This window comes from Homo sapiens, chromosome 18 (genome assembly GCF_000001405.40).
Source record: "Homo sapiens chromosome 18, GRCh38.p14 Primary Assembly".
Taxonomy (NCBI): Eukaryota; Metazoa; Chordata; class Mammalia; order Primates; family Hominidae; genus Homo; species Homo sapiens.
This window is the reverse complement of record NC_000018.10, coordinates 76,749,727-76,760,462: the sequence shown is the minus strand read 5'-3', so window position 1 is coordinate 76,760,462 and position 10,736 is coordinate 76,749,727. Positions and strand designations below refer to the sequence as shown.

At 45.5% G+C, this 10,736-nt stretch overlaps 1 pseudogene, besides 1 other annotated feature; it reads right to left on the bottom strand.

The window, feature by feature from the left end:
• Positions 3,070–3,570: an enhancer, noted in NCBI's record as "H3K4me1 hESC enhancer chr18:74468849-74469349 (GRCh37/hg19 assembly coordinates)". NCBI's record gives its function as "activates a minimal SCP1, AML or CMV promoter by ChIP-STARR-seq in naive H9 embryonic stem cells {active_cell/tissue: H9 hESC(naive)}" and the evidence as "EXISTENCE:reporter gene assay evidence [ECO:0000049][PMID:30033119]".
• Positions 8,622–9,158, bottom strand: CCND3P2 (cyclin D3 pseudogene 2; annotated as a pseudogene).

Genomic DNA, 10,736 nt, shown 5'->3' with positions numbered 1-10,736 from the left:
GGGAGGTGGAACTTGCAGTGAGCGGAGATCGCTCCACCACAATCCAGCCTGGGGGACAGAGCGAAACTCTATCTCAAAACAAAAAAAGAAAGAAAGAAAATGTGGCACATTTCTCATGCAGTGAGAACACTGCATGTTCTCACTCATAGGTGGGAACTGAACAATGAGAACACATGGACACAGGGTGGGGAACATCAAAAGTGGGGCCTGACATGGGGTGGGGGAGGGGGAGGGATAGCATTAAGAGAAATACCTAATGTAAGTGACAAGTTAATGGGTGCAGCACACCAACATGGCACATGTATACATACGTAACACACCTGCATGTCGTGCACATGTACCCTAGAACTTAAAGTATAATAATAAAAAATAATAAAAATAAAAATAGTCTGTGTATTACTTCTAGGGGGAAAAATGCTCAGAATGACCTTCCTCACGCGCGTGATGGGCAGTGCTACCTGCTCCCCAAACCCATTTTGTTTTCCTCCTGGGTAAACAGCCAAACTGACCCCTGGCAGATAGGCAGGGGGCAAATGTGTGTGAGGGAAGTCACATTTGCCATCCCCAGCTCTGCACATAAAAGTCTGGCCGGTGCCATCAAGGTGAAGATCATGCTTCCCTGGGGCCCAGCTGGCAAGACTGGCCCTAAGAAGCCCCTGCCTGACCACGTGAGCATCGTGGAACCCAAAGATGAGATACTGCCCACCACCCCCATCTCAGAAGAGAAGATGGGAAGCCAGAGCCTCCTGCCACGCCCCGGCCAGGCCCCACAGCTAACAGGGTCTCCTTGGCAACTGTATTCTGGAGTCTGGGTGTTGCTCTGTAAAGACCTTTAATAAAATCTTGTACAAAGACAAAAAGAAAAAAAAAAAAGTCTGGCCTGTGCATCCGTGCTTGTCTCCTCTCCCATCAGCCACCCTGAGGGCCACATGAGGAGAACGGAGCCCGGGGCCCCAAGTCCCTGCTTGGGCAGCAGCTGCAGACACACACTGGACACTGACGCCAGCGAGAGAAACCTGAATGGCGAATTGCTGAGATGTGGAGATGTGTGTTGCAAGTGGAAGGCTCAGCCTCCTGCAGGAGATGGAAGCAGAAAGTTCACGGTTCAATCAACAACCGAGCCAGAGGGGCTTCTCTGCAGGCCGCGTGGCCTCCATCTGCGAGCGCCCTGCGGGTTGCGTGGCGCTTGGTGCTACCCAGGCGATTCTGCAGGCTGCCCCTTACCCGTGCCGGGGAGAGGACGGTGGTCACAGAGCCCATGCGGAGCTGCTGTGGGAGCAGAGCGCGGCTGCAGGCGTCCTCCCGGGCAGGAACAACGTTCAGGAGCTTCAGCCCAGTTTCCTGTGCTTCACTCCTGCCATTGGAAGCTCGAGTCGTGAGTTTTGCCGCAAGCGTCACACTGCTGGGCTAGTCCCACCACCTGCAGGTCGGTCTTAATAAAACTGCATTAGTTAAAAGAGGCATTTCATATGAGGCGCTGGGTTATTCCATGGGCTAAGAGAACGTGAGTCAGGCCTTGGAAAAGGAAGAAAAGCAGGACGTGAAGCCTCCTTCTCCCACCCACTTCCTTTCTCTCTCTCATTGCCTATTCCCATGTCTGCTTTTTGGGGGACTCCATGGCTTTTCAGTTCAAATGTTGCATTTCCAGTCACTTCCAGGACTGATTTGACTTCTGTTCCAAGTCCAAGGCCTTGAAGAGTGACTTCAGTTGGCCCTTCTTGGGTCAGGACTCAGCCCTGGTCCACTTAGCGACAGACGGCGCGTTCTGGTTAATGTAATGAACAGGGGCTCAGGGAGGGAGGAGGCAGTTTTCTGAGCAGGAGCCAGGCAGAGGCCCTGAGACACAGGCCGCAGGTATCAAGGGCCCACTGCGCTCCTGCTAGGTACGGTTCGGGCCGTGTGATAGGACCTGTTCTCAAGAGATGCACAAGCTGCTTAGGGAGACAAAGTGGAACAAAAGAGATAATTCATAAAACAAGGTACCCCAGAGTTTCCGTCGGGGGCAAGGAGAAAGTTCTGGAGACAGAGGGTGGTGTTGGCTGCTCATCAGTGCAGACGTGCTTAGTGGCACGGACCTGTGCACTTAGAAATGGTTAACATGCTTGATTCTATGTCTTTATATTTTACCACAATCATTAAAAAACCCAACAAACACGGTAGCCAGGGACATGGTGAGCCAGAGCTGTGGCCAGCAGTGCTGTTGGCCTCACAGGACAGTGTGACGGTAGGGGTGCGGGTGGGATGGCCTGGCTCCCTGACCGAGAGGAGCAGGGGGACCTGGCTGGTCTTCTGCACATGCTGACAGTCACGTCCCAGAGAGGACCTGGAAAGACAGTGCTGCACTGTGCGGTGCCCCCGTCCTGCCCACGCAGAGGCCACACACGGCACCCCCAGGCCTCCTCCTCCACGGGAGACTTCCAGCACGGACAGCGGCCCAGGCAGCCACAGCCTCAGAGAGGAAAAGGTGAAGACACGGCCCGTCAGGAAGCAAGGACACATCCAGCCCATGCCACAGCCTTCGACAAAGACATTGAAGGCACTCGTGACCCTTCAGCCACCACGGCAGGTGCCCCCGGTGGCTCCTGGAGGGTTTGTGTTATGGGTCATTTAATGAGGTTGACCAGTTGTCGGGCAGTAAGGCCCTCTTTGAGGTGAGTGCAACGATTATTACTATATAAGATGCAGGAAGATTGAAAGAATTCCTTTTGATAGGAACACCTAAAATCAATTTCAAGCGCAAAAAGAAAAAAAAGAAGAAAGGAAAAGCAAGACCACACGAGCACTTCAGAAGTATTTACAGCAGAGCTTCTCAGAGTCAAGGCAGAACTGGCCTCTTACGGAAAGTGACAGCTTCGTTTTGAGAAGTACAAAGCGAGAAAACAGACTGGAAAATACAGCGAGAGACCCAGCTCGCCATCGCTCACCGTGTGAAACGGCCTAGTCCGCACAACGTGCAACAGTTGCAATAAACACATCACGCTTTTGGCAGTGATGCTACTGGAAAATATTTATAAGCTGGCTTGGCATTTTCCAGATAAATTCTTTCTAAAAGTCTCGGCCAGCCCACTGTTAAAATGGAACGTTTATGAGGATTTGGCACACATTATTTTATAGGACTCTCTTGAAAATGTAGTCATTTTTATTACATATCTTGTAAAAATAGAATAATGTTACTGTTTTTGTTGTGTCTGTACTCTTCCAAAAGTATCTATCTTAAAATGGAAAATGGACAGGTTGCCTTTTGAAATGCAGGAAGCTTTTGTCAGAGTGTTTGGCCACGCGGATGATGAGTACACTTAGCAGTGCACCGCGGGGCCCCCTAAGCGGGTAGGCTGGATTCTCGTGCCCCAGAACAGAGACACGTGACATAGCACTTGCAGGAAGGAGGACAGCAAAAAACCCCGTGAACATGTACAAACGACAGGAGGAGGTGCCCTGGCCAGCCAGTCGCAGAGTGGGAGGAGAAGGCGGTTAGAGAGCGAGGTCAGCTGACGTCTCTGGAGACACAAGGGTCATCTGAAGACAAAACAGGAGCCGGACCCTCCAGGCCCCATCTCGCAGCTCTGAAAATGTCACTTTACTATGCTCATGTCTGTAACCATCTTTCTTGTTGTTTTTATTTACTCTTTAGGCTTTTCTATAGTTCCTAGAGTTCTGAAATGAGAAGCATCTAATTTTAATCAGAAAAAAAATCAATACTGCAAGCAAGCATGTGAGCAAGACACAGAGGCAGCGAGTGAGCCGTGCCACAGCTGCGTCGTCACCCTCCCTCCTGGGTGCCCCTTCCTCACCTACGAGGCAAGGAGGAGAGCTGGACACTGCTGGGTCCCTGGGTCTCGACCCGTGTGATTCCAGGGGCAGCCTGCCCGTGCTGCAGGAGCAAAGGTCCTTCCCACCTCAGGCCCCTAAGGAGTCCTTCCTGGCTGTTGGAAGGCCCTAGTTCCATCTCCCCTTCCCTTGGAACTGGAGTTCCTGGAATTTTTTAAATTTCATTTAAATAAGTTATTGTAAATTTATTTTTTCTTGTCTTCATCTCAGCAAAATTGCTAATTGTGCTGTTTGGATTATAAGTGTGCTCTATTGCCAGAAATGCCAAATTAGATCATCTGTTTTGAGTCATTATAGCCCTTAGATGGCTTTTATTGTTAATTTCAATTTGGAAATACTTTATTCTGCTGCGGCAGTAGCAACCGGATTTGTCAATAAATTTCTTAGATTCGGAAATGAACCATAAATTCAACGCATCATCATGTTTAAGCACGGTATTGGAATTGCATATGATCAATTTACTTTGCTGCAGAAGGATTATCAAATGCTTTAATCTCATAATATAAGATGCTACCACGTATTGCCATTTTTAAATAAATGTTTTTAAGAGCAGTTTCAGGTTCACAGCAAAATTGAGCAGAAAATACAGAGTTCGCCTAGAACCCCTGTCCCCACATGTGCAGTGCTCTCCCCCATGATCAATGTCCCCCCACCAGAGGGTGCATTTGTTACAGCTGATGAACCTACGTTGACGCACCACTGTCACCCACAGTGCATAGTTTACATCAGGGCCTACTCTTGGTGTTGTATAAGTTGTACAGGTGTAAGTTTGGACAAATGTATAATGAAATATACCCACCATTACAGTAACACACGGAGTATTTTCACTGCCCTAAACAGCTTCAGTGTCCCTCTTATATGTTCCTCCCTCTCTCCCACCCCTGGTGACCACTGATCTTGCTGTCCCCATGGCATCACCTTTCCAGAGTGTCATACAGCTGGACCCCGCAGGATGCAGGCTTTCCGGGATTCTTTCCTTAGGAATATATGTTGAAGCTTCCTCCGTGTATTTTCATGACTTGACGGCTTATTTCTTTTTAGTATTAATCCCAAGTGTTTGATACCTGACAAACTTAGGAGTCCAACCTCCCAGCCCGGTTCCTAGGAAACTGACAGGTCAGAAATCCATTTGTTAATGAAGTCATGCCAAAATATCCGTCATGTTGATGGTGATGTTATTTCTCATTTGCCCTTCCGAGCACAACTGCATTTTTAAAAAGATGTCAGCTGGGCGAGGTGGCTCACACCTATAATCCTAGCACTTCGGGAGGCTGAAGAGGGTGGATCACTTGAGGTCAGGAGTTTGAGACCAGCCTGGCCAACATGGTGAAACCCTGTCTCTAGTAAAAATACAAAAATTAGCTGAGCGTGGTGGTGGGCGCCTGTAATCCCAGCTATTCAGGAGGCTGAGACAGGAGAATCGCTTGAACCCGGGAAGTGGAGGTTGCAGTGTGCAGTGATAGCGCCACTGCACTTCAGTCTGGGCAACAGAGCGAGACTCCGTCTCAACAACAACAACAACAACAAGATATCTAGGGACATTGCTCAGAAGGTACCACCTTCAGGATCTGCAGCTCACAGGAGACATTTCCAGTCAATGTCATTGGGTTACCACACAGCCCCCTGGAGATAGAACTAGCTGCTTGCAAACCTCCTGCCAAGCAAATGTTACCTTCTGAAATTTTTTCCATCCTCATTTTAATTAGAAAAGGAAAATATAATTATTTTATTATTTCTGATGCTGTCCTTTATGGTCATGTAACAACCAACCTGGAGAAAAATACCTGATTTATTCAAAAGATTACATAATTGCTTATGATTCTATTGGAACATCCTCTCCTCTCTAAATGTTAATTTTGGTCCAACCCCTCATGTCTGTTACATCACAGGATCATCATGAGAAGTTTATAAATTAAGTTCAGCTCTTTTAAGTTACCACGGTCCTTGATATTGTGACATAGTGATATTATCAGTCAAGCTGAAGGGACAATTGAAGGCGCCAGACGGGAAGTAGGTGATTAGACAAAGCTGGAAGCAAACCACGCAGATCTGGCCTGGGAAGCTGAACTTTAAACCTACTAAAGAGAACAGATCTGGTTTCTGAAGGCTATTGTGTGAGTAATAACTAATTGGCTGCAAAAGAAGTTTTCAGGCAGGTTCTTTGGCGTGATGGTGAGGCCGGCGTTGATCTCCCATGTTGAGCTTGAGCTCATTCAGCTGCACACTCTAGCACGTGGTATTCTGCATGTCTTTACAGATTAGTTTTCATGTGAAGCTTCACATGAAACCCTTCTCCAAATAAGAAGATGCATGTCCGTTTAAAGAATTTTTAACATTTACAACAAAATACATGATATCTTGAAATAAACTAGGTTAGCAAACTTTTCTAGTGTTTTTATGTCCATAATATTTTCAAATGAAGAAGTAATACGTGTGACACTCTAAATTGTGAATAACTGCTCTTGGAGCACGGCCCTACAGGTGTGGTCCTGCAGAAGGTGACACGCACCTATCACCGTGCACAAGCCCTTGGCTATGGTGCCTATGGAGGGCTCCACCCACAGGTGCCCCAAGGACATCAGAAATGGTAAATGTGTGACATCTTTAAAAGACTTTTCTTCTTATTTAAAAAAATTATTTATTGGCAAAAAGGGCTGGGCATGGTGGCTGTTGTCTTTAATCCCAGTCCTTTGGGAGGCCAAGGCGGGAGGATCACTTGAGACCAAGAGTTCAAGATCAGCCTGGGCAGCATAGTGAGACCCCATCTCTACAAAAAAAAAAAAATTGTCTTAAATTAGCCAGGCATGGCGGGGCACTTGTAGTCCCAGTTACTCAGGAGGCTGAAGCAAGTGGATCACTTGAGCCCAGGAGGTTGAGGCTGCAGTGAGCTATGATGATGCCACTGCACTCCAGCCTGGGCAACAGAGCAAGACCCTCTCTCTAAAATAAATAAACAGGTACCGAGGCAAGGAGAATGGTTTTAAGAATTGGATTCCTGGCTGGGCGTGGTGGCTCACGCCTGTAATCCCAGCACTTTGGGAGGCCGAGGCAGGCGGATCATGAGGTCAGGAGATCAAGACCATCCTGGTTAACACAGTGAAACCCCGTCTCTACTAAAAAAAAAAAAAATACAAAACATTAGCCAGGCATGGTGGCGGGCACCTATAGTCCCAGCTACTAGGGAGGCTGAGGCAGGAGAATGGCATGAACCCAGGAGGTGGAGCTTGCAGCAAGCAGAGATTGCGCCACTGCACTACAGCCTGGGCAATAAAGCAAGACTCCACCTCAAAAAAAAAAAAAAAAGAAGAAGAAGAATTGGATTCCTAAAAGAATTGTGAGAGGTCTGGCTCTGAACATGACTACCAATTTTGAAGCTTCCAAAGTTGGTTGTTACGAGTTTGAAGGCCTTTCATGGGAATGGGATGATGACGGAGTCCTTCCTCAGCTGCACTCCCCCAGTACTACAATGACAGTCTGTTGGAATGGTAATGGTACAGGGTCAGAAAAGCTGGCTATGTTCTTTCATGCCTCTTTTCTCCTTCATGAAAAAGTCAATAAACCTCCAAGTTTCATCACCTGGAAAGTAGAAATAATAAGATCAATTTGATTGATCATGATGAGAGTCAACCAAAACAATCTTTGTGTACATAGACACCATAAATGTTAATAATTATTATTTGTCTATGCAGAGAATCAGGTTAAAATTAACACAAAGATTAGTCTGGAAGAAAAATAGAAACGACACACTTTCAACCTCACTGGTATGTGAGGAGGTGGTACAGAAATACTTACGTGTTTTGCTTTTTGATAAGGGGGATGGGCATGTGAAAGTTGCCAGAATCAAAATGGAATCCCTAATGTTAAGAAAACCCTGATAAACAGAGTTGGGGAAAGGAGGGTCCTCATGCTTATGTGCCTGAGAACAGAAACTATCACAAAAGACTGCAAAACCCACAACCTTGCACAAAGGCCCTTGCAACCTTACACAGAATCGGCTCTGCAAGGACATCTGCCCAGCAACTGCCTGTCCAAACTTGCACTGGCCTCACCCTTGGCATTGTCTTAGGAGCCAAGCATAATTATTTCAAAACAATTATGCAATCCTCATTTTTCCTTTTTGAAAACCGTTGTCTTCCTTTACCTCCCTGAATTCACACATCGTTTACGATGGCACACATATTCCCATTGCAATGCTCTGTTCCCAAATAAGTATCATTCATTTTAGAGAGACTCTCTCTGTTTGTTGTTCAGGTTGACATATATGATATCAGGACCTGCAGAAAATCGTTGTTGGAAAAAAGATCGGTGATTCTTGGACCCGGTGCGCTGTTCTCATGTGAGCTGTTGGAGCTCTCTGTGTCCACAGCTCCATGTTTCTGCCGTGGCGGGGGTCTTCTCTTAGACTGAGTCTCCCCCTCCTTTGGTAGAGGCTTTTTTTTTTTTTTTAAATGGAGCCTCTCTCTGTCGCCCAGGCTGGATTGCAGTGGCACCATCTTGGCCCACTGCAACCTCCACCTCCCGGATTCAAGAGATCCTTCTGCCTCAGCCTCCTAAGTAGCTGGGATTACAGGCACCTGCCACCACGCCTGACTAATTTTTGTATTTTAAGTAGAGATGGTTCTCGCCATATTGGCTGGGCTGGTCTCGAACTCCTGACCTCAGGTAATCTGCCCGCCTCAGCCTCCCGAGGTGCTGGGATTACAGGTGTGAGCCACTGCACCCAGCTGGTAGAGGTTTTTTGATATTGTTTGGGATCTGTTTGGATAAGGCTGTCTTAATAAAGGACCATACATCACTCCTGGGATGATAAAATACTTTTTGTTTCCCAGTCTGGGTGCAGCGGCCTGCAGGCAGCCCACTTCAGTGACCCATGTGACCCCTGCCAGCAGCTCTGTGAGCTCATCCTTGGTGTGGAGCAGTCACCCCGGCCTTGCACATGGCCTTAGTGGTGCCTGATGCAATCATGCCTGACAGGTACACAGCAAAAGTGCAAGCTCTAGCACACAGGGACAAAAAAGTCAAGGAGTGCTTTTCAACCAAGATCTGTTGGTCACAGGGCAGAGAGAGCTGGTGCAGAATCAGGGTCAGGAAATCAGAGCAATCACAGCCACAACTGGCGAGGAGAGACAGCGTGGTTGGTGCAGATGCATGGTTATTTGATGGTCAGGAGTAAGGTCTCACCCAGCTTGGAGGCCAGCAGGATGTGGACTGCACCCAGGAGCTGCAACTGTGCCATTGGGTGGAGATGCTGGACAGGTAGCGATCCAGGCAGTTCATGACCAGGGAAAGGCTTCCTCCCCACAGTGCTGCTCCTCACACATTACACCATCTTTCTTCAGAGTCCTCCCATTTTACATCCTGGTGCCATCTAGGATTTCTTTCTTTCATTGATTTTCTCAGTTTTTGCTTTTGCTGTCATGCAGAGTCCAAAAAGAAAGGCTGGATAAAAGAAAAAAAAAAAGAAAAACAAACTGCTGGAAGTCTTCCCAACACACATTTGCTAATCAAGCAAACCAGGCCAGCAAACAAAAGATAGATTTGTTACTAGTTCAACACTACTTGGAGATTTTGTTTTTCTTACACAATTCAGCCAGTCCTAGCTAAAATGCAAACATTGAACATTTAACCCCTAACTTATTTGAAACTAAAAGAAAAAAAGGGGTGAAAAGTTTTTAAAAATCAAACTGCCATGGAAACTCCTTTACCCAGAAGGGTACAGCTTTCATTAGATTACCTATCAGAGCAACTAAAGTCTAGCTATATGAATAGCTTCCAATTTTGTCACAAATATTATTTGAATTCAACTCTTTTATAAACTGGTGAGTTTGTATTACTATTTCATGACTAAATTATTAAGTGAAAGATATAAGATCTTTATTTGTGTGTATGCATTTAGATGTTCTTTACACATATATACATGTATTATGTTATATGCTATGTCCACATAGTAAAATCTGGGTAGTTGGCCAGAAATGCCTTAAAGATAAATGAACATTCATATAAAATATATAGTAATTAGCACAAATGCTTTTTAGTTCATGTGACTTAAGTAAAACTTTAACAGACAAACTGGTTTTAAAATTATTGGTAAAATAAAAATAGAAATGTCTTCAGATTTGTCAGCATACATTTTTGCTCAGGTTTACTAGTCAGACAGTCTTATATTTGTCTATTCTAAATATTTTAAAGTGTCAGAATTTGATGTAAAGGTTATAAAAATATAAAACCAGCCTAAAACAAAATAATCTTTGTGTAAATTTTTTGATAAGACTAATTTAATATTGTTGGTTTAATAAAAACTTCTGTATCTTCTGCATTATTGGCAAAATGCCTGTGTATTTAAGATTCTTACCTAAGTGAACATCTGATATTCACAGGCTATTGAAATGAATATCAGGGCTGGGTGTGGTGACTCACACCTGTAATCCCAGCACTTTGGGAGGCCGAGGCAGGCGCATCACCTGAGGTCAGGAGTTCAAGACCAGCCTGGTGGTCTTGGTTACATGGTGAAACCCTGTCTCCATTAAAAATACAAAAAATTAGCCAGGTGTGGTGGTGAGTGCCTGTAGTCCCAGCTACTCAGGAGGCTGAGTCAGCAGAACTGCTTGAACCCAGGAGTTGGAGGCTGCAGTGAGCCAAAATGGCAACAGTGCACTCCAGCCTGGGCTTCAGTATGAAACTCCATCTCAAAAAATTTAAAAAAAAAAATAAGAAATGAGTATCAGGGAAATAACTTGAAATCATGACCAACATTGTCTTGTATTCCAGTTCTCATAAGTAATCTAGGTAAACTGTTCAAAAATAAATTAATTAAGTAAATGTAAATGGGATAAGTGTTTATAAACTAATCTTATATGCCATTTGAAATCTTAAAGTTATATTATGTTAAATTAATTGGTAAATTTTAA